At 35.8% G+C, this 24,319-nt stretch overlaps 2 protein-coding genes across 10 annotated transcripts in view, besides 2 other annotated features; both read left to right on the top strand.

The window, feature by feature from the left end:
- The window catches only part of EAF2 (ELL associated factor 2), a 51,318-nt gene extending 39,288 nt beyond the window's left edge, over positions 1-12,030 (top strand). For all 6 annotated transcript variants that reach the window (XM_047448576.1, XM_017006861.2, XM_047448577.1 and 3 more), the window contains one exon: positions 11,846-12,030. In XM_047448576.1, coding sequence (XP_047304532.1) covers positions 11,846-11,892 — 47 coding nt within the window. In that variant the 3' untranslated portion in view covers positions 11,893-12,030. The remainder of the gene's footprint in view (positions 1-11,845) is intronic.
- Positions 18,331-18,864: an enhancer, noted in NCBI's record as "H3K27ac hESC enhancer chr3:121611674-121612207 (GRCh37/hg19 assembly coordinates)". NCBI's record gives its function as "activates a minimal SCP1, AML or CMV promoter by ChIP-STARR-seq in primed H9 embryonic stem cells {active_cell/tissue: H9 hESC(primed)}" and the evidence as "EXISTENCE:reporter gene assay evidence [ECO:0000049][PMID:30033119]".
- Positions 18,865-19,397: an enhancer, noted in NCBI's record as "H3K27ac hESC enhancer chr3:121612208-121612740 (GRCh37/hg19 assembly coordinates)". NCBI's record gives its function as "activates a minimal SCP1, AML or CMV promoter by ChIP-STARR-seq in primed H9 embryonic stem cells {active_cell/tissue: H9 hESC(primed)}" and the evidence as "EXISTENCE:reporter gene assay evidence [ECO:0000049][PMID:30033119]".
- The window catches only part of SLC15A2 (solute carrier family 15 member 2), a 49,788-nt gene continuing 45,373 nt past the window's right edge, over positions 19,905-24,319 (top strand). For all 4 annotated transcript variants that reach the window (NM_021082.4, XM_005247722.4, NM_001145998.2 and 1 more), the window contains exons 1-3: positions 19,905-20,085; positions 21,910-21,997; positions 22,892-23,033. In NM_021082.4, coding sequence (NP_066568.3) covers positions 19,981-20,085; positions 21,910-21,997; positions 22,892-23,033 — 335 coding nt within the window. In that variant the 5' untranslated portion in view covers positions 19,905-19,980. The remainder of the gene's footprint in view (positions 20,086-21,909; positions 21,998-22,891; positions 23,034-24,319) is intronic.

Consider the following 24,319-nt stretch of genomic DNA (forward strand, 5'->3'; position numbering starts at 1 on the left):
ACCTGTCTAGGAATCAGCATATCAGTATTATATTCCTGACTTCCTTATCACTTATTAGCTATGTAACTAATAACACTACACTTAACTTTCTTGTAACTTCAGTTTCCTCATTGAAAGTAGAGGTCACATTGCCTTGTAGAACTTTGAAGGGGTTCAGGATATTTTATATTTTAGAATTTCTTTTTAAATCTAGAATAGTTTTTTAGTAAAACATAGCATAGTGAATTTGTGTTTTTAAAACCCCTTCTGTGCCAAACAAATAGGAACAATGGATAAAGTATTAAAAGGTAAAACCCAGACATGGCCAGAATCAAATATAAGATAAACATCTCTAAAGAGAAGAACTGGACTATAAACACAAAACAGTGGGCTTAGTGGAGCTGAAGCCATTGGATCTGAGTTCAAAAGAAGGTGATATTGGTAAGGATCTTGGTACTTTCAGGGAAAGGTATAATAATATAATGAGAACTTTTAGGGAAACTTTTAGGGAAATAATCAGAACTTTCAGGGAAAGGTATAATAATATAATGAGAACTTTTAGGGAAACTTTTAGGGAAATAATCATAACTTTCAGGGAAAGTTATAATAATATAATCAGAACTTTTAATAGTTTTAATAGTTTAAATGTTCTGATTCAGTGAACCTGAGTCATATTTTCTATTTGAAGCTAGAGAATGCATGTTGTTGAGGGGTAGTGGGGAAAGGGAGAGAGGGTTGATAGAGGTGGGGATAAATAATAAAAGGAGACTGGAAGAAATAGCCAATTAATAAAAGAGATTGGAAGAAATAGACATTTACATATTGACTGAGGCTACTGTGTTTTAGAAGGTGTGGGCATAGGGTCTGTAGAACCTTGATATCCGTTGACTCCTTGAAGGGATCTAGCATATCTCCAATATACCCAGAGGATAACAATCTCCAAATGTGATTATGAAACCTGTTTCTGGTAATGGAGCTCAGAGGACTAGGTGGAACGAACTACAAAACCCTGTCAGAGTGGTGTGAGGATAGAGAAAAACAGAAATTTTCCACTCAAAATGAGCAAACTTAATTCTAAAACAGAAGAAAAAAGTCTAATGCTAAGAAAGTCAGCCAACAAAATTAACAGTTAGAGCAGGGATTCTTTCCAAATGAAAATCTTTTTACAGAGCAATTAAGACAAAGACATTTAAATAAGTACGCTAAAAACATTCAAAGAGATAAATGAAGATACAGCTTTTAAAAGAATGATAAAACAATGCCAGGAAGAAATGAAACAAATCTAATAGATTATAAAAAAGAATAAATTAGACTGGTCATTGACATTTTTAAAAAACCAATAAATAAGAAAAACTGTAGACTGGATACAGTTGATGAATAAATTGGTGAAATAGAAGATAATATTGAGGAACTATCCCAGAACACAATACAAGAGAGACAGAAAAATAAAATGAGAGACCAGCTTAGAGATAGAAAAGATTGAGAAGACTAAACATTACACAATAGGAAGTCCAAGAAAGAATGGAGGAGATAGTGTAAAAACTTAATCCTGAGAATTTTCCAGAATTGAAGAAACCCATGAATTTTTACTTCAGCTAATAAGCAGGGTAAATAAAAATAAATCTAGACCTCAAAACATGATAGTGAAACTACACAACATCAAGGATGAAATAACCTTAAAAACTACAGAGAAGACAAACTACAAAAGAATAGTCTGACAGCAGACACTCTTAGCTAGATAGGTAAGCCAAAAGATAGTGGGGGAAATATTTTTCAAGTGTTGAAGGAATATAATTCTACCTAGAATTTTATACCCAAACACAATGTCATTCAAGAGTAAAATAATTTTCAGGCACACGAAAACAGCTTATTGTCTGTAGAATTTAGCAAATGTATTATTAACAGACATATATATATGTTATATATATATTTCAGCAGAAAGAAAAGTGAAAACAGAAGGAAAGTGTGGAATATGAGAAACAGTAGTGAACAAAAAAATAGATAAAATGTCAGGAAATTTGATTAACCTTTGACTATAAAGATAACAAGTCTGTTTTAGATGTTTGTACATTTGGAAAATTTTTTTTTGAAGATTAAAGCTAAAACTCTAGACAATAGTTGCTGAGAGAGTATTCAATCAGTAGTTTAAGTATGCTGAGATCCATGTCATGTTAGGAGGATAGATACACTGAATCTGACTTTATTAGATAAATTTGTAGTGAGTTATGTATCCTAAAATGTTAAGGGTACCATTTAATTAATAAATACAATCTATAGTTTCCACATCATCAGTGGGAAAACCAGGGAACATAGAAAACTTTATCTAGTAGAAAGCAGAGAAGGAGAAGTGAAAGAAAGTGATTGATCAACCCAAAACAGAAAATATGAAGTAGAAATAAATCTCAGTATATCAGTAATAACAAAAGCAAAGCATTATATCCACCTAATAAGAAACAGATTATCAGATTAGATTTTTTTAAAACGCCATATGCTGATTATAACAAATTGTCTAAAAACCATATGGAAAATAAAGAGATAGAAAAAAAGATGCTAGCTAAGTAGTAATTATAACAAAAATCTGGATCATCAATATCAGAAATAATACACTTTAAGGCAAAATGTACTCCTAGAGATAAAGGGACTTGGTAAATTATGAGAAAATGTTCAGTTCACCTGGAAGATAAACAATTCTGAATTTGTATGCATGTAATAACATATCTTCACTATGTATGTGTGTGTGTGCGTGTGTGTGTGTGTATGTATAAAACATAACAGAAGTAGTAGAAGTTGACAAGTCTATTTTAGTGGGAGATTTTATGAATCTGTAATCAAGCAGAAAAAATTCAGTAAGGGTATGAAATCTGTAAATACATAATAGACATACCTATTCTAATAGTGAATACATAGAATCCTACAATCCAAAAATGCAAAGTGAGTGGTCATATTTAAGGTACATTTGAAACATTTACAGAAATTTACCTCTTACTAGGACAAAGGCAATAACAGATTTCAAAGAATTCACTTTTTAAATGAACATATTATGATTATAATATGAAAATATAAATAAATAAAAATTACTTTAAAATAAGTTTAGACCTAAATTTCAAAGCACATGCCAAATAACTTACATGTTAAAAGGCAACTATAATGAGATTACAAAATATTTATAATTGAACATTAAAAAATTGAATACTGTTATGAAGATAAAAAATAATAAATAATAAATAAAATAGCAGTTTTGGTACTTCCAAGGAAATGTCTTAAAGGAGAATAGGAAATTTAATTAATTAATTAATTGATTAACTTTATTTTAGAGATGGAGTCTCGCTTTGTTTCTCAGGCTGGAGTGTAGTGGTCATTCACAGGTGCAAACATGGTGCACTACAGCCTCGAACTCAGGGGCTCAAGTGATTCTCCTGCCTCAGCTTCCCCAGTACCTAGTACTGCAGGCATATGCCACTGTGTCCAGCTCATTATAGGGAAATTTATAACCTCAAAATGTTATTTAAAAAAAATTGAAGATAAATGAGTGAAAGGTTCATTTTGAGGTACTAGAAAAACAATAACATCTTAAAGCAGAGAAAGAAAATAATATGGATGAATAGAAGTTAATGTAATAGATAATGAGGAAACATTAGAAAATCAACAAAACTAAAAATTTGTTTCTTTGAAAACTAACAAAATAGACCAATAGAATAGGCCAATCTTTAACAAGGGCTGAGAAGAAAAATAGAAAAATCTCAAATAGACAATATTAAGGAAGAAAATTAAGTTAAAATTATAACTATATTTTAAAAAATTATTGATATACAATATACATATTTATGACTTACACGTGATATTTTGATACCAGCATACAATGTGTTGTGATCAAGTCTGGATAATTAGGATATACATTACCTCAAACATTTGTCCTTTTTGGGGGGTTAAGAACATTTCAAATCTTCTCTTTTAGCTATTTTGAAATATACAATAAATTGTTGTTAACTATAGTCATCCTACTGTGCTATTGAACACTAGAACTTATTAAATTTATTTAACTGTATTTTTGTACCCACTAACCAACCTCTGTTTATCCTTGTCTTCACCTTTCCGAGCCTCTGGTAACCATCATTCTACTCTCTATCTCCATGAGATAGACTTTATTAACTCTCACATGTGAGTGAAACCATATGATATTTTTCTTTCTGTGCCTGGCTTATTTCACTTAACATAATGACTTCCAGTTCCATTCATACTGCTGCCAATGACAAGATTCCATTCCTTTTTATGTCTGAATAACATTCTATGTATATTAATTATTTATTAATCCATTAATGGACACTTTGGTTGATTCCATATTTTGGCTCTTGTGAATAATGCTGTAATAAACATAGGCTTGCAGATATCACTTTGATATACTGAGTTCCTTTCTTTTGGATATATACCTAGCAGTGAGATTGCTGGAGCATACAGTAGATCTATATAGTTTTTTGAGGACCCTCCATACTGTTCTCCATAGTGCCTGTACTAATTTACATTCCCACAAGCATTCCCTTTGTGTCCTTGTCAGCATGTTATTTTTGTCTTTTCAATAATAGCCATTTTAACTGGGGTGAGATGATGTCTCATTATGCTTTTGATATGCATTTCCCTAATAGTGATGATGAGTATTTTTTCATATGCCTGTGGGCATTTTTTAAAATTATTGATTTTAAATGTTTTCTTTTGAGAAAAATCTATTCAGTTTATTTGCGCATTTTTAATTGGTATTATATGGGGGTTCTTTGGCCATTGAGTTGTTTGAATTTCTATATATTCTGGTTTTTAATCCCTTGTTGGATGGATAATTTGCAAATATTTTTTCCCCTTCTGTAGATTGTCTCTTTACTCCATTGATTGTTTCTTTTGTTGTGCAGAAGCTTTTTAGTTTGATGTGATCCCACTTGTCTACTTTTACTTTTGTTGTCAGTGTTTTCAGGTCTTACATACAAAAAAATCTTGGCCCAGATTAATCTCTTAGAATGTTTCCCCAATGTTTTCTTCTAGTAGTTTCACAGTTTCAGGTCTTAGAATTGAGTCTTTAATCCATTTTGATTTTATTTTTGTTTATAGTGAGAAATGGGGGTCTAGTTCCTTTTTTCTTTTCTTTTCTTTCTTTCTTTCTTTTTTTTTTTAAGGATAACCAGTTTCTCAGCACCATTTATTGAAGAGACTGTCCTTTCCCCCACAGAATGTTCTTGGTGACTTTGTGAAAAATCAATTGACTATAAATATGTGGATTTATCTCTGGGTTCTCTATTCTGTTCCATTGGTCTGTGTGTCTATTTTTATGCCAATACCATGCTGTTTTCTTAGGTAGTGTGGTGCCTCCAGCTATGTTCTTTTTGTTCAGGGTTGCTTTGGCTATTTGGCATCATCTGTGGTTCTATATGAAGCTTATGTTTTTTTTGTATCTGTGAAGAATGTCTTTGGTATTTTGATAGGTATTGCATTGGATCTGTAGATTGCTTTTGGTAGTATTGTTATTTTCACATTATAATTCTTTCAATCTTTGAACATGGCATGTCTTTCCATTTTTTGTGACCACTTCCATTTCTTTAATCAGTGTTTTATAGTCTTCCTTGTGAAGCTCTTTCACCTTCTTGGTTAAATTTATTCCTAGGTTTGTTGCTGTTGTTGTTGTTTTGTTTTGTTTTTTAATTAAAGACAGGGTCTTGCTCCGTTGCCCAGGCTGAAAGGTAATGGCATGATTACAGCTCACTGCAGCCTTGAACTCCTAGGCTCAAGTGATCTTCCCTCCCCAGGCTCCCAAGTTGCTGGGACTATAGGTGTGCACCACCATGCCAGCTAATTTTTTTTTTTTTTAATAGAGACTGGGTCTCACTGTGTTGTGCAAGCTGGTCTTGAACTCCTGGCCCCAGGCAGTCCTCCTTCCTTGGCCTCCTAAAGCACTGAGAATACAGGCATGAGTCACTGTCCTGGACCTTAGTGTTTTGGGGTGTGTGTGTGTGTGTGTGTGTGTGTGTGTGTGTGTGTAGCTATTATAAATGGGAATGCTGCTTTCTTGATTTCTTCTTGTTTGTTTATAGAAATGCCAATAATTTTTGTATGTTGATTTTTGTATCTTGCAACTTTACTGAAATTGTTTATCAATCCTGAGTTTTTTGTGGAGCTTTTAGGGTTTTCTCTTTATAAGATTTTGTCATTTGCAAACAGGGACAGTTTGACTTCCTCCTTTGCAATTTGGATACCCTTTATTTTTCTCTCTTGTTTCTTTGCTCTGGCTAGGACTTCCAGTGCTGCGTTTAATAAGAATGGTGAGAGTGCGCATCCTTATATTGTTCCAGCTCCTAGAAGAAAAGCTTTCGGCTTTTCCCCATTTAGTATAATGTTAACTGTGGGTTTCTCTTATATGGCCTTTATTATGTCGAGGTACACTCCTTCTAGACCTAGTTTGTTGAGGGTTTTTTATCATAAAGCGATGTTGAATTTTATCGAATGCTTTTTCTGCATCTATTGAGATAATCATATGGTTTTTGTCCTTCATTATGTTGGTGTGATATTTCACATTTATTGATTTGGGTATGTTGAACCATTCTTACATCTCTGGGATAAATCCCACTTATCATGGTGAATGATCCTTTTAATGTGCTGTTGGATTTGGTTTGCTACTATTTGTTGAGGATTTTTGCATGTATTTGCATCAGAGACATTGACCTATAGTTGTGTCCTTGTCTGGTTTCAGTAACAGGGTAATGCTGGCCTCATAGAATGAGTTTGGAAGAATTCTCACCTCTTCAGTTTTCCGGAAGAATTTGAGAAGAATTGGTATTTATTCTTTAAATGTTTGGTAGAATTCAGTATTGAAGCCATCAGGTCCTGAACTTTTTTTTGATGGGAGACTTTTTATTACTGATTCAGTCTTATTACTTGTACTTGACCTGTTCATGTTTTCTATTTTTTCTTGGTTCAATCTTGGTAGGTGGTATATGTCCACAAATTTATCAATTATCATTAGGTTTTCCAATTGGTTATTTTTAAAAAATTAGTATTATTATTATTATTTTTTGGAGACAGAGTCTTACTCTGTTGCCCAGGCTGGAGTCCAGTGGCACAATCTCAACTCACTGCAACCTCTGCCTCCCAGGTTCAAGCAATTCTTCTGCCTCAGCCTCCCAAGTAGCTGGTACTACAGGCGCATGCTGCCACACCCGGCTAATTTTTTTGTATTTTAGTAGAGATGGGGTTTCATTGTGTTGCCCAGGCTGGTCTCGAACTCCTGAGCTCAGGCAATCCACCCACCTCAGTCTCCCAAAGTGCCGTGATTGCAGGTGTGAGCCAATGCACCCAGCCTTAATTATAATTTTATTAAAAAATTTATTCCAGTAAATTTGACATAGGAACGGATGGTTTTGTAGAAAAAGTATAATTTACCAAATCACAACCAAATAAGGGTCATCACAGAAATGTAAGAAATGTTAAACATATGAAATGGTATCAATCTAATTCACCACATTAACAGATTATAGAAGTAAACCCATATGATCATTTCAACAAATGAATAACTTGACAAAATTCAGTATTTATTAATTTGAAAACATGTACTTGAGGCTGGGCATGGTAGTTCACACTTGTAATCCCAGCACTTTGGGAGGACGAGGCAGGTGGGTCACTTGAGGCCAGGAGTTCAAGACCAGCCTGAGCAACATGATGAAACCCTGTCTCTACTAAAAATACAAAAATTAGCCAGGCATGCTGGTACACACCCATAATCCCAGCTACTCAGGAGGCTGAGGCATGAGAATTGCTCAAACCCAGGAGGTGGAGGTTACAGTAAGCTGAGATCATGTCACTGCACTCCAGCCTGAGGGACAGAGTGAGACTCTGTCTCAAAAAAAAAAAAAAAGTAAAATAAATAAAAACATTTACCAAAGGATGAATATAATAGGATTTTCTTAGCTTTATAAAAGTTAATTACCAAAAAACAGAACTCCTACAAACATCATACTAATAGAGACTTTAGGAGCATTCCCGTTAAATTCAGGAACAAGACAAAGAGGACTAATGTTATTTCTGTTGAGCACTCTATTGAATTTGCTAGCAAATACAATAAAACAAGTAAAAGAAATATGATATAAGAATTGGAAACAAGAAATAAAATACTCTTAATTTGTAGGAATGTAAATTATCTACATAGGAAATCCAAAAGAATCAGCAAACGATAGAACTAATAAAATAATTTGGAAAGATTACTAGATGCAAAAGATATATGCGAAAGTAAAGTCCGTAGTGTTTTTGTCTATCAGTAATAACCACTTGGGAGGTGGTGGTTTTTTTTTTTTAAGTAAAAATAGTGAAATTTCTTTTCCTGATGTATCTAAACTAGGAGTTTCCTAATGAAATAAACCATCTCTGACCATTACTGCAATCATCCCATTGCTCAGCTTTATGAGACCCAACACCCCCTTTTGTAACAGATATTTTTAATTCTCCTTTACTATTTTGAAATGAATTTCATAGCTTAATATAATCTGTGTACATACATCTTTGAAAAGCATTAATTTAATTTAATATAAAGGCAAAAGAAAAACAAATTTATAATAATATGTGTTCTAACTTTGTAAATGTTAAAGAATAGCTATATCAGAAGATACAATGAAGTAACCATGTTTTTGCAGTTACTTTTAATGCATAGATTTGGATTTAAGAAAAACAAAACAACATTCAACTCATATTATCAACAATTTTTCTTTTTATTTAACCTGTAGAAATAAGGACTAGAAAAGTATATGCATATATATTAAAAAATTGCGTCTACAGCTGCCTATACAGACAACTATTGTTATGCGTATTGCTGCTCCAAATACAATGAGCAGCATTGATGTTACTAATGTGTTGCCCCAAACTATTTTTAAAAGAAAATTTTTGAAAAGTTTTTAAAAAATACAAAACAAAATCATCTTCAGTTTACATGATAGCTGCATACTTGTAAGTTTCAATTAAATATGTGCAAAACAATACTTGGAATTTATGAAAATGTATTTCAGCTCTGGTTTTAAATTTATAAACAGATCTTCCAAGTACATATTCCACCCGACTTTCAAAAATTTCACAGAATGTAGAAGAGTTCTTTATTGTGCAAGACTGGTTCATCCATTGCAAGACATTTAGCATTCCTAAACTCCCCTCCCACTAAATGCTATTAGCAATCTACAGCCAACAGGACAAGCAACCCCTCATGTAAATTTCTGTATCATCCCCTGGGGGGCAGTACTACTCTCAGTGATAACTATTGATTTAAATGCCTGAATATATTTCTATGGGTAAACTCTCTTTTTCTGAGTCATAATTACAGCTATGATTGAAAACATATTTTCTTTACTAAGCAACTCATAATCAAAGGCTAATCTTATATCTTCAAAACTTGACTGAATATTTCCTAACCTTGACAGCATAAAGTCTAGAAAGGCAAAATGGAACTCTGAGTACGTTTGGGTTTGTGTCGCTTGAAAAACTCATATTACAGGCATCATATAACATTCTTATGTCATATAATAGTTCTGTAAGTGGAAACTTAATCCTTGAAAATTATGAAATGCATCAGGCAAGGTGGCTCATGCCTGTAATCTCAGCACTTTGGGAGGCCAAGGCAGGTGATTCACCTGAGATCAGGAGTTCGAGACCAGCCTGGCCAACATGGTGAAACCCTGACTCTACTAAAAATACAAAAAAATTAGCCAGGCATGGTGGCGCATGCCTGTAATCCCAGCTACTCGGGAGGCTGAGGCAGGAGAATCACTTGAACCAGGGAGGCAGAGGGTGCAGTGAGCTGAGATAGCGCCACTGTGCTCTAGCCTGGGTGACAAGAGTGAAACTCCATCTCAAAAAAAAAAAAAAAAAGAAATGAAAGTGATGAGATGGTCATGAGAACCAGATGCACAGAAGAAGTTTTAGCAGATTTTCTTATTTATTTATTTATTTTTTTTTTTGAGAAGGAGTTTCACTCTGTCGCCAGGCTGGAGTGCAGTGGCGTGATCTCGGCTTACTGCAACCTCCACCTCCTAGGTTCAAGTGATTCTCCTGCCTCAGCCTCCCGAGTAGCTGGGACTACAGGCATGTGCCACCATGCCCAGCTAATTTTGTATTTTTAGTAGAGACGGGGTTTCACCATGTTGGCCAGGATGGTCTCAATCTCTTGACCTCATGATCCGCCCACCTCAGCCTCCCGAAGTGCTGGGATTACAGGCGTGAGCCACCGCGTGCCCGACCTCGCAGATTTCTTTATCAAATGATGTTATCAGTTCTGCAGTTCATGCAAAAGACTGAAACATCTTATAATTTATACGTGGCCTAAAAACTATTCTTCTTAAATTAGGTATTGATTTCAAAACATGCCAGCTTTTTTGATTGCGGATTAGTTAAAAAATATAAGAATTTTTTTAACCATTGTAATTTACTACCTAAGTGATTTCATTCAGTCTGTTTGCTTCAGATAAACCTGTACGATCAATGACTCTCAAATCTTTATTTCTAGGTCCAGCCTCTACCTTTAGCTCCAGACTTGTATATCCAACTGCCAGTACCATATATATTTGGGTATTTACTAGGTATCTCAAATTTACCACATGAAAATTGAACTTGTGATTTTTCTTCTACAACCATGTTCCTCTGGTGTTTCTCATCTCAGTAAATGATAACTCAGTAAATGATTTATCCAGTTGTTCACAACAAAAACCTTGGGGTCATTCTTCACTTCTTTCTCTTGTACCCTAAATTCAATGTTTTAATTAGTCCTATAAACTCTGTCTTCAAAGTACATTATGAATCTGACCACTTAGCCTCACCTCCCCCAGACTACCTGAGTCAAAGCCAACATTATTTCTTACATGAGAGACTGCATTAGACTTACAACTTCTCTCTTGTTTCTGTGTTTCTTCCACACCATTATGGCGTATTTACTGATCTACAACCGGTTTTAAGTTAGTTGCCTGCTTAAAATTTTCTCATGAATTCTCATTACATTTTCAAACAAAATCCAAAGTTTTTACCATGACCTTGTGGATATCTTTCTGACCTCATTTACTACTGTTATCTTCCTTATTCATTCCATTCCACCCACAGTGGCCTTCTTGCAAGTCAGAGAATGCAACAAATATGCTCCTGCCTTGGGGCATTTGCACTTCTGTTCTTTTGGCCTGGTCACTTCACCTCCACATTCTCCATTTTTTATGACTTTCTTCCTATATTTGGATCTCTGTTCAAATGTCACCCCTCAAAAAGGCCTTCAAAACTACCCTATTTAAAATAGCACCTGCCACTGCCATCTCCATACCCATTTTCATTTTTCCATAGCACTTATCCCTACTTGGCATTATGTTATATATTTGTTTATTTGTTTACTGTCTGTCTCCCCCACTGGACTGTAAGCTCCATGACTGTAAGTACATAGATGAATTACAAAATGAATCAATGGTGAATTATCCTTGACATATATTATTTAATGATTTTGACTCCATTTTAAGTAAAAAAAAAATAACATTTTTTTCACTCTTCAAAGTGATATAGTTTAATCTTCTAAACTACATTTTTCTCATTTCCCGATTTAATTAAATCAGTGATATAAAAAAAAGAGTGATGGGGATATGTGAAAGAAGACTAAAATAGATGCCAGGAAATACTAAAACTGCTGAAGTTTAGTGGTATATTTTTTCTTTACACACAGTATTATTTGAGTTACTAATTGTGTCACTGAATTACAGAATAAGCAAAATACTAGGTAAACAGAATCACGCTTGGGGGCTATATTTTGTGTAAAATTTGTGTTATGCAAAAATAATATTAAATATTTAATTACTACAGTTTTGTTATTTCTTTCTTATTTTAGGAAATGATTTGCAGCTGAGTGAATCAGGAAGTGACAGTGATGACTGAAGAAATATTTAGCTATAAATAAAAATTTATACAGCATGTATAATTTATTTTGTATTAACAATAAAAATTCCTAAGACTGAGGGAAATATGTCTTAACTTTTGATGATAAAAGAAATTAAATTTGATTCAGAAATTTCAGTTGATGTTATGTATTTGTTTTTTAGACAGTTTATTTATATAAATTTATTTATTGTTTTTTAGACAGTTTATATATAAATATATATTATATATGAAGATATATATATATAATTAAATACAGCAGTTTTAGGTTCATAGCAAAGTTGAAGTTTTAGGTTCATAACAAAGTTGAGAAGGTCTTATTTCTTCTCTCCTCATTATCAATATCCCACACCAGAGTGGCACATTTGCTAAAATAGATGAGCCTACATTGATAGATCATTATTACACTAAGTCCATAGTTTACATTAGGGTTCAGTCTTGATGTTGTGCATTCTATGGATTTTTGACAAATGTGTATTCATCATTTTAGTAACATTCGGAATAGTATCACTGCCCTAAAAATCCTTTGTTCTGCCTATTCATTCGTCTTTTCCCTTTAACTCCCAGCAACTACTAATCTTACTGTCTCCATAGTTTTGCATTTTCCAGAATGTCATGTAGTTGGAATCATACAGAACATAGCCTTTTCAGATTAGTTTCTTTCACTTAATAATATGCATTTAAGTGCCTCCATGTCTTTCATGGTTTGATAGCCCATTTTTTTTTAAGTTTGAATACTCTCCTATTGTCTGAATGTATCACAGTTTGTTTATCAACTCAACTACTGAAGGACATCTTGGTTGCTTCCAAGTTTCGTCAATAATGAAAAATTTTTAAATTCAATTTCTTACCTTTGGAATTTGTGTAGTTTTTTTTTAATTTATAAGTTTTTATTTTAATCTTGCTTTCTCCTTTTCTCTTTCTAGCCTAACTTTAGTTAATCTGTCTTCATTTTTATTTCTATTTTATTTATCAATACTTAGCCAAGAACTACAACTATGTAATTTATTACTTAACTCATAATTAATAAGCAAGCTCATAATTCAAAGTGGCTAGTAAAATGCTTATTTTAATATAGTAATTATAATGGTTTTTACTGAAAGTTGTTATGCTGAGTTTTCTTTTTGGTGTTAACACTACCAGAATTGGTTACATGGTGATATGAGCTGATAAAGCTGGCTGTATAACATGCATTATGTTTTCAAACTTCCGGCAAGCTGAACAGTACATCTTCAGTACATCATTTCCCCTCCTTATTATATCCCTCATAAGTGAAACATTCTTAAAGACCTGTTTTTATGGATCGAATACATAGTATATCATTCTTTATACCACTCAAGGGTATATATAAGTACCTCAGAGAGAGAAGAATGAAATAGTATCTCCCATGCTTTTGTATCTCCTTATTTGATGTGTTTTCAGATACCAAAATGTAGGGAGCTAGTGGATTAGATAAGTTCTCAGATAAAAGGTTCTCTGCCAGAAACAACTGATGATCCTGATGTGATTCTAAACATACACACTTTTGGTTTGATCCATACTGAATGGTTTGATTAAACTGATGGTAGGCTGGGCATGGTGGCTCATACCTGTAATCCCAGCACTTTGGGAGGCCGAGGCGGGCGGATCATGAGGTCAGGAGATCGAGACCATCCTGGCTAACATGGTGAAACCCTGTCTCTACTAAAAATACAAAAAAAAAAAATTAGCCGCGTGTGGTGGCAGGCGCCTGTAGTCCCAGCTACTCGGGAGGCTGAGGCAGGAGAATGGCGTGAACTCAGGAGGTGGAGCTTACAGTGAGCAGAGATCTCGCCACTGCACTCCAGCCTGGGTGACAGAGTGAGACTCCGTCTCAAAAAAAAAAAAAAAAATACTGATGGTAATGTAAGCATGCAAGCAGAAAAAGTAAGTTGGCTACAAAAGAACAAAAATCAAAGGACTTTGAATTATTCTATAAGACTAAAATCTAAAGGTAATAAAGCTGCATCTGTGCAAGGGTATTAATGTGACCTATGAATTATGTATTCATCAGATGTCATCCATAGTTTGGTAAGAAGGTATTCTCAGACATATAAGAATTCAGGAATTCTATCATTCATATACCATTCCTATAATAATTATTGTAGTAATTTCTAATTTATTAAGAGATGAACCAAAATTAGGAACTCAAGAATGGAAAAGAAGTATAATAAAAATATATTATGAAAAGATTGATAACTAATATTTTCAGGACTGGCAACTTCTCTGTCTCCTGAAGGAAACTCACTCAGTTTGAAGGGGTAGTTGACACTCATGCCCAGAAACATTTTAAGGGAAAGTGACTTCTGGGATGCTGACTAGGGAGAGAAGGCCAAGAGCTTATTCACCCTATGGCCCTGAGGCTGCAATCCTAGTTGGGGCAATCATGTTTCAGGCTGAGACTGGGTACATGTGCAGCAGAGACTAGAGATGGCCTAAACTATTCACACACTCCTGACCAACCCTGAGGCATGTGCATAGTAAACGCAAAAGGGCCTGATGAAAAATAGAACTTGGGAAGACTTGAAAATAACATGTTCTTTGAATGTATTCCCTTACACATACAGATCCATTAGCAAAGGACAAAGTCTTGTTGGCTCAAAGTGGTTTGGATATGATATTTGTCCAGTCTTTGGCCACTCAGAGTACCATTTTGTAGAACAGTGACCTTGAGGGAGGAAGGTTTGACTGGGAGGCAGAAGGGAGGCAGTGGTATTATCTCTGAAGAACTTTTGGCATTGACGTGCTAGAAATTTTTTTAACATTATCTAGGTAGTGCTTGTGTGAGTTACACATATATAAAAATTAACAGAGCTGTACACTTAAGATTTGTGCATTTTACTTCAAGTACATTTAATTTTAAAAGTCCATAAATAAAATCAATAGGAAAAATATTGCAATATAGAGGATGGCAGAACATTAATATCAATAATGTTTAAATTGACCTTACAAATTTACAAGAAGGGGACACACGACTCTAGAAAAATGGGCAAAGAAAATGAATAGGCAGTTCCAAAAATTATAAAAGCATATATTTTGGCTCGGCATTCTCACTTCTGGAAATTTATCCTACACATATATTTAACTTCTGTGCAATATTATTATTGCAGTATTACTTATAATAGAAAAAGACTGTGAACCCTGAAAATTTGAGACATGTCTTAGTTAATTAATTAATTTATTTATTTATTTGAGACGAAGTTTCGCTCTTGTTGCCCAGGCTGGAATGCAATGGCGGGGTCTGGGCTCACTGCAACCTCCGCCTCCCCAGTTCAAGCGATTCTCCTGCCTCAGCCTCCAGAGTAGCTGGGATTACAGGCGCCGGCCACCACGCCTGGCCAGTTTTCGTATTTTTAGTAGAAATGAGGTTTCACCATGTTGGTCAAGCTGATCTCAAACTGCTGACCTCAAGTGATCCTCCCCCCTCAGCCTCCCAAAGTACTGGGATTACAGGCCTGGCAGTCTCAGTTAATTTAGAAAGTTTGTTTTACCAAGGCTGAGGACTAGCTGGTGACACAGCCTCAGGAAGTTCTGATGACTTGTGCCCAAGGTGGTTGGGACATAGCTGGTTTTTTACATTTTAGGGAGATATGAGACATCAATCAATATATGTAAGAAATACATTAGTTCCGTCCAGAAAGGTGGAGACTATTTTTCTTTCTTTCTTTTTTTTTTTTTTGAGACGGAGTCTCTGCTCTGTCGCCCAGGCAAAAGAATATTTTTCCATTTACCTATTAATCTTTTTGTTATTGATTTATGCAGTTACTTATATAATCTGGACACAAATCCTTTGACAGATATATGTAACACAAATATTTTCTTCCCCTCTGTAAATTGTCTTTTGACAATTTGCAGAGTGGTCAACAAAAGTTCTTAATTTTAATATTGTCCAACATCTCTTTTTTTTCTTTCATGGTTACCATATTTTATATCTTATTTAAGAAATGCTGGCCAGGTACAGTGGCTCATGCCTGTAATTCCAGCACTTTGGGAGACCGAGGTGGGCTGATCACGAGGTCAGGAGTTTGAGACCAGCCTGACCAACATGGTGAAATCCCGTCTCTACTAAAAATACAAAAATTAGCCAGGCGTGGTGGCGCGTGCCTGTAATCCCAGCTACTCAGGAGGCTGAGGCAGGAGAATAGCTTGAACCCGGGAGGCGGAGGTTGCAGTGAGATCATGCCACTGCATTCCAGCCTGGGCGACAGAGCAGAGACTCCGTCTCAAAAAAAAAAAGAAAGAAAAAAAAGAAATGCTGACTTACTCCACAATCATAAAGATGTTCTCTTATGTTTTCCTCTAAAGACATTTTTTTTTACTTTAACATTTAGATAGGCAATCTATATAGAAATTATTTTTGTGTATGTTGTAAAATAAGGGTCAAAATAATTTAGGGGGTATGGATATTCAAATGGTGTTTATTTATTGAAATCAACATCATTTCCTTCACTGTATTACAGCATCATCTTTGTTATATACATTATGTGTGTGAATCACTTTCTGAACGCTGTGTTGTTTCATTGGTTGCCCTATGTTATCTGTGTCAATTCCACTCTGATATAATAACTATCTTTAAAATAGGTCTTAGATTGGGTAATACAATCCTCCACCATTATTCTTTAAGATTGACTTTGCTATCCTTGGCTCTTTGCACTTCCAAGTTGACTTTAAAAAGTCATCTTGTCATTTTCTATACTCACAAAACCTGCTGGGATTTTGTTTTAGAACTGTAGAATGTTTTGAGAAATGTTGACATCTTTACAATATGAGCCTTCCAATTCATAAGCATGGTATGTTTCCATTTATTTAGATCTTCTTCAATTTCTTTCAGTAAAATTTTATAGTTTTTAATATTGAGGTCTAGAAGATCTTTTGTTAGATTTATTCCTAAATCTATTTATATAAATAAATATATAAATGTATTCCTTAGATTTCCCTTTTCTATTTCTTTGTGACTGATGTTTGATACAATTTATTTTTGTGTATTTTAATTTAGAGAACTTGTTAAATATATGTTCCCTTTTAATTTCATATTTTCCTCTTCTCTCTGACTATATTAGATTCTATTAACTTAGAGCAGCAGTCTACTTTTGTGTATATATAACTAAAACTTTATCATATGTCATAATAAATGTTTTCTGATGTTGTAATCACTAAGGACACAAATATTCTTTACTCATCACTGATACTTAGATTCTTTCACTTTTATTGTTTGTCTCAGAATAGTTGGTGCTCATTTCTGTCTGGGAGGTGCTTTCTTTTTATCTCTTCTCTTTCTCCTTCTATCTGATGTTAGCAAAATAATAGGATTTAAGAGCCATCTTAATATTATATAAATGGCTCAAGACTATGCCTTGGGAGCCTAGGGTTCCAGTCCTTGCTTTGTCCCTTCTGAGTTCCTCTGAAATAGAATAGGAGAGAATTTATGACCAGTGTTTCCCAAATTCCTAGCGTAAGAATTGCTAGAGGTGCTCGTTGAAAACAAAGATTCTTAGATCCCTACCGAGATCTACTGAATTGGAATTTCCAAAGGAAAATGATTCTTATCCTCAGGGAAGTTTCACTCACATAGGACAAGATTAAGATTCCTTCCATCTCTGATATTATTCGATTCTGTGAATACTATCATTATACTGCCATAATCAAAAGAAGAATTTTGTCTAAACAAAGGAGTGTCAGAAAACCACTGCCAATACTCCAAAGTTTAGTATTTGGGATACCTATGAGCACAAATAAATTGGTACATTGCATACAGGTGCTATTCCATCTACTCTGCCAGATCAAGGAAAGCCACAACATAAGTGGATCTTCAAGGCATCTGTGCCTCTGCTAGTTAACTTGACTAGTAACTTCTGACCATTTATTTTCCAGCCAAAGTCATTAACCAAACCAATTCAGAAATGGCAGTGCTTCCTGAAAGAATAACTATACCTTAATTATTAATGCCACAGTCAGAAATGAAGCTGGACTCTTCTTTGGGTAAAGGTTGGTGGGAGACAGTAGAAATGAGGGGTGTAATAGAAGCTGAGAAGATATGGTCAAAGTCTGAGTTAAAGTTTAGAGAGGAAAAGACAGTTTATCCTGGCCCTATTTGTCAATAAATTATTTGAATAGTTAAAGTAAAAATTTTGTGAGGGATAGAGTTATAGGTTTTCTCTCTTGTATTTTCAAATAAAATAATTCATTCTGATGTTGCCTGACCTTGTTGATTTAGTCTTCATTTTTCTTATTTCTTTTATAGCTCTCTAGCCTTTCTTTTCCCTTTTCTTTTGACAAACAACTAGAGGGGCACCATGCTCTTTTCTTATCCTTTTACTTCTTTGGCTTGACAAAAATAACACAGCATAAAATGCACCTAGCATTATGATGTTTGTTCTTGTTCCTCTTCTGATAAGGACTAAATGTATAATTAAGGAAAATGGTGTTCACAACAGTACCTAGAAAGTAACTGGTTCACAATTTTTGCTCAAATTAAATTTTATTTATTAAATGAAAGAATAGATTAATCTTGAAGTGAGAAAATGAAAATATAAGGAGTGACTTTAGCAAAGAAGAACAATGGTTCCCAAATGTATATCACCAATCCTTTTCTCTCATTTTCTTTAGCCCCACCTCTTTAATTGCTTATAGGCTATTTCTAGCTGAACTTTTATGATGTTGAAAACAAAAGTCTCCTTCCTTCCTTCCTTTCTTTTCTTTTCTTTCTTTCCTTTCTTTCCCTTCTTTTCTTTCTTTCTTTCCTTTCTTTCCCTTCTTTTCTTTCTTTCTTTCAAGTCTTGCTCCGTCGCCCAGGCTGGAGTGCAGTGGTGGGGTCTCGGCTCACTGCAACCTCTGCCTCTTGGGTTCAAACGATTCTCCTGCCTCAGCCTCCTGAGTAGCTGGGACTACAGGCGCGTGCCACCACACCCAGCTAATTTTTGTATTTTTAGTAGAGATGGGGTTTCACTATGTTGGCCAGGCTAATCTTGAACTCCTGAGCTGTGATCAGCCCACCTCGGCCTCCCAAAGTGTTGGGATTACAGGCGTAAGCCTCTGCACCCAGCCAAAACTCACCATCTTTCTTATCTTCCAAACTCAGTTTTATGATGACTTTCCTTCTCCAATGCATTTTAATCCTCTGCATTCCTACATTCCATTTATGTAACCTCCATACCTGAATAATGACTGACACTAACTCCACTTTTCCCAGCTGTCATGGCATAGTGAAAATTCCAGATCTGCCACTTAGTGGACAGGTACTTTGAACAAATTTCTTAACCTCTGGGAACATTACTTTCTATAAAATGGGGATAGTAATATGAATTAGAATAAATATATATGTTATAGATATACAACATAGATGTAATTCATATATATTAACCTTTCAATAGTAGATGTTCAATAAATTACAGCTATTGTTACCCTGAAATCAGTTTTTCTTTTTTTTTTTTTTTGGAAATGGAGTTTCGCTCTTGTTGCCCAGGCTGGAGTGCAATGGTGCAATCTCAGCTCACCGCAACCTCCGCCTCCCAGGTTCAAGTGATTCTTCTGCCTTAGCCTCCTGAGTAGCTGGGATTATAGGCGCCCGCCACCACACCCAGCTAATTTTTTTTTTGTATTTTTAGTAGAGACGGGGTTTCACCATGTGGGCCAGGCTGCTGACCTAAAACGATCCGCCTGCCTGGGCCTTCCAAAGTGCTAGGATTATATGCGTGAACCACCGCGCCTGACCATGGAATCAGTTTTTCAATCTGTGCTCGAGGTGTTGTGTTCTTAACTATCTTCTACTCCTTTGCAAAGATAATCTTTCTTAAACATAGACTTTCTAATCAGTTCTCTAGCATTGTTTCATTCTGTCTTTGGCATGTTTTCACTTTGCTGTGCTGTACTTTTACACATTCTTTTTAACTATAGCTTCCTGCTTTGCTCTGGATCAGGAAGCTATTGAAGCTGACACCCACAGAGTTAAACTGAGTTGCTGAAGCCACCAGCTCCCCCTCCCAGTCCTTCTTTTCAGAGTAGGCTGGCAGCTGTCCTAACTGCCTACTAAAGCCAAATGCTTGAGGAGAGAGAGAGAGTAAGGAGCCAGCCATGAATCCTTTCCAGAAAAATGAGTCCAAGGAAACTCTTTTTTCACCTGTCTCCATTGAAGAGGTACCACCTCGACCACCTAGCCCTCCAAAGAAGCCATCTCCGGTGAGTCCTTAGATTCAATCCTGCCTCTGAGAGGAATGGCCTCCCTCTTTTGGCTCTCTTCCTTGGGCTCTGGAGCTTCCAGCTGAGCTGTATTAGGGTATTAAAATGCTTCTCTCTTGGATTTAGAATTCACCTGAAACCAAATCTAAACAGAAGCTTCCTTTACATAAGAAGACAAAGCAGCAGGAAGAGGTAGTCAAAGTTCTTCAGTTGGGATCCAGGGACTTGCTGAATTTCATTGCATATTCTGTTTCCCTGGGGGAAAAAAGCAATTCGAATGTCCAGGGAAACTTGGCAAGCATTCTTGTCTGAAGAACTGTGTGTGATTGTTCTTTCTTTACCAATATAAAAACTCTGCCCTTAGTTCTCCCTGTGTGCAGAGTCTTCTGCTGAACACCAATGGAAGTTTCAGAATAGATCCAATTTCTGTTACTATGTGTTCCCAGTTTACTGTGGGAGATAGGACAGAGAAACAGAGAATAGTAATGTTTTGCATTTATATACTCGCTAAAGCACTTCTAAACTCATCATCTCAGTCAATTCTTACACTAAAATTCTGTAAGTGGGGAGGATATAGTAATGATAGCCAAAATTTACTGAGTTCTTACAGTGGGCCAAAAGGTGATGTTATTCTCATTTCTTTGGAATAACAGAACAGAGGTTTTGAGACAGGTGTAGTGACAATGCCAGTATCAGTATGTTAACACAGCCAGTGGCAGTGTTGCCTAACTAGCTAACAGTGTGTCGGCTAAACTCCAGATTGCATAATTCTCAAGCTGTGAGCTGCAAAGGTAAGAAGCCCAGTTCATTGTATGTTTCAAACAAGCTATTATAAAACATTAAAATATATTAATATTTAGGAGGATCATTTATATATATCCCTAGGGTTAAAAGAATAATACATTACTTTATTATTTTGCCTATTTTTTTAGTTAATGATATCTCTTCTGGTCCCAAAGAATTTAGGGCTACTTGCAAAGATGTATATACTTCTCATGAAATGAGGCAATATAAATCTTACAAGATTTGACTGTACTGAGGACAGATACCTCTATGTCTCTTCTCATGTTAGTTGGTCTATTGTAATAGATAGGGAATTAAAATAAAACATAACATTCCTTATATTCTGACTGATATATTACATGAAAAGCATAATTCTTTTAATGTCCAGTAGGATTATCATGAAAATGTTATAGAATCTCTTTAGTAGGAAGAGTAGACATTTAATTTTACAGGATTTAAGAACTCTGCCTAAAGTCAAGGTGATCAATTAGCTTACCCTTAGGAATCTCTGTCCTCCATGTTGGGCTCTGTGCCTGACTCCAGCAGCCTCTGAAGTAGAAGCTATCATATTGCCAGGATTCCTCCCAGCATGGCAAACAGAACAGCTGGGGACAAGAGTCCCCATAGTGGGGCTAAGCAGAGACTGACATCTGAATCTCACTGCTTGGATATCAGGTATTCCATAGGCTACCTCTTTATTCTGTTCCTAGGAAGTAAATATCACCATTCTTCTGCCCCAGAGCCCTAGGCTTTTCATTTAGTAGTTGTGGGAAGATGAGCAGGTCCAAGGAATATTTGAGCAAGTCCATGTAAAATAAATAAGAAACAAAATAATATTCAGAGTAGCTTCTATTATTTCTAAATCAGTAATATAAGCACTTTTAGTGTTACCTAATAGGTGTGTCATGAAGAGTAGAGACCATTGCTCCATTACCTACCAAGATGATTTGAAATAAATGAATTTTTCAGTTTTGAAGAAATCTAATTGTTGAAACAGGGAAAAACAGCTCATGCTTGAATCATTGCCTTCTTGTTGAATAGACAATCTGTGGCTCCAACTATCCACTGAGCATTGCCTTCATTGTGGTGAATGAATTCTGCGAGCGCTTTTCCTATTATGGAATGAAAGGTAATTTTGTGTCCAAGAGTCCTACCTACTCTCCTCCACCCACCCTCACCCCATGTTTGTGACAGCCTGGTCTCTTTATATGCACTTATTTCCCGAGTCCACTCTTTCTGCCTTGGTCCAAATTGGTCCTTTACTTTGGCCAAGACTTCCAATAAATCTCTCATAGGATTTCACCTAATATGTAGGCCAAGATCAGAAAGGCCTGAGACAAACCAGAACATAGACTTTGAGAATGGGTAAGTGGGTGGAGCTGGGCATGATGGCATGTGCCTGTAGTCGCCACTACTTGGGAGGCTGAAGCAGGAGGATTGCTTGGGCCCAGGAGTTCAAGGTTATCAGGCACCTGTAATTGTGCCAGTGAATGGCCACTGCACTCCAGCCTGGGCAACATAGCAAGAACTCATCTCCAAAAAAAAAAAAAAAAAAGGGGGGGGAGGGAAAGCTCTCATTATCTCAGTTACATTTTTCATACCTGTTCCTCAGGTATGAGCTAACAGCTCTTGGCTAAGGGCTCATACCTGAGGAACAGGTATGAAGAATGGAATTCAGATAAGAGGTCTTATCATCTTGTTGCTGGGAAGGAGAGGAGAGGGAAGGGATATTGGAAGCACCATGTTATGTTCATGGTTGGCCTAAATGATGCTAGGGGTGCACATAGACTGAAGGGAGGAGTATTATATTTGTACATTCAACATAGTCCCATTCACTCCCACAACTCCCATGGGGCCCTGCTTCTACTGCCTGGCAGTCACTTCTCAGTCATGTCACTGATAGGAGTGCTGAAGGCCAAAATCACATTATAAAGACCAGAGATTAAATATTTTTTTCCATAAGTCACTTTAATGCATCTATCTTGTTTTGTCTCCCCACGCCTCCTTTTTTTTCCCACTACAGCTGTGCTGATCCTGTATTTCCTGTATTTCCTGCACTGGAATGAAGATACCTCCACATCTATATACCATGCCTTCAGCAGCCTCTGTTATTTTACTCCCATCCTGGGAGCAGCCATTGCTGACTCGTGGTTGGGAAAATTCAAGTAAGGAAGATGGGAGGTCACATCCCTACAAGTTTCACAGGTTGTGCAGAAGGCTATCACTTCTAGCCTCTTGCTTCTGAGTAAGAACATACCTATGTCATGCGTGAAAAATAAGAATCTCTGTACATCTGTGTAGTGTGGGAAATTTAAAAAAAAAGAATCTCTGTGGTAACAAGGAAAGGCTATTCTTTTCATTATCAATTTTTCCAATGTGTTTACATCCTCTTCAGTTGCGGTATCTTTTGTTCCTTAAAACTAATTTTAACCTTCCATTCCATAGTTTAATATTAAATCTTGCTCTGATCTTGTTGGAGATAGACAGCACTATCCACCAGCAAATTTCTAATTTTAGCCAGGTGCGGTGGCTCACGCCTGTAATCCCAGCACTTTGGGAGGCCGAGGCGGGCAGATTGCCTGAGGTGAGGAGTTTGAGACTAGCCTGGCTAACATGGTGAAACCCCGTCTCTACTAAAAATACAAAAATTGGCCAGGCATGGTGGCGGGCACCTGTAATCCCAGCTACTTGGGAGGCTGAGGCAGGAGAGTTGCTTGAATATGGGAGGCAGAGGTTGCAGTGAGCCAAGATCATGCCACTGCACTCCAGCCTGGGCAACAGAAAAAGACTCTGTCTCAAAAAAAAAAAAAAATTGAAATTTTGATGCTTTTATGTAGTTATTTGATACTTTCTCCATCTCTTCTCCAGATTGAGTTATCCCACCTCCTTTAGGATCTTCTTATGAGTGTCTCTTTTCAGCTCTTTTACCATCTATTTCTCTTCTCTAATGTCTTTTGTAGTTTCCTTCTTATGAATCTAATATTTTCATGAGTTAGACTATTGGTTCATTCAGTTCAGTATCTTTTAAGTCCCTGAACACAGCACCAAGAGATATAACATGGTATAATGTTATAATTGTCCCCTATAACATTAAACTGATAAGCTTAGAAATGGATCGTGGTTATCCCCTGCCCAATTATTTTCTATGGACCTGTCATCCATAGATTTGTCTAAATGAGCATTTCTCAAAGGGCATTCTGTTCAAAACTATAAAATATAATAAGTTATGTGGGAAAATAAAGCTCTTGTGGTCAAACAAGTTTGGAAACTGTTAGGCTGAGCAAAGCTAAAAATGTTCCCTTACTGCATGACTTCTTATAGCCTTAAATACGCTAATATGAACTATAAAATCTCCATAGAAGGTTGTAGTATGTAGTGTTTCCCAAACCAGTTTGACTATGGAATATTTTTTCTGGATATTTTGTGGACCCAGTGTTCCAAGGAATTCTCT

Source organism: Homo sapiens, chromosome 3 (genome assembly GCF_000001405.40).
Source record: "Homo sapiens chromosome 3, GRCh38.p14 Primary Assembly".
In the NCBI taxonomy this organism is placed as follows: Eukaryota; Metazoa; Chordata; class Mammalia; order Primates; family Hominidae; genus Homo; species Homo sapiens.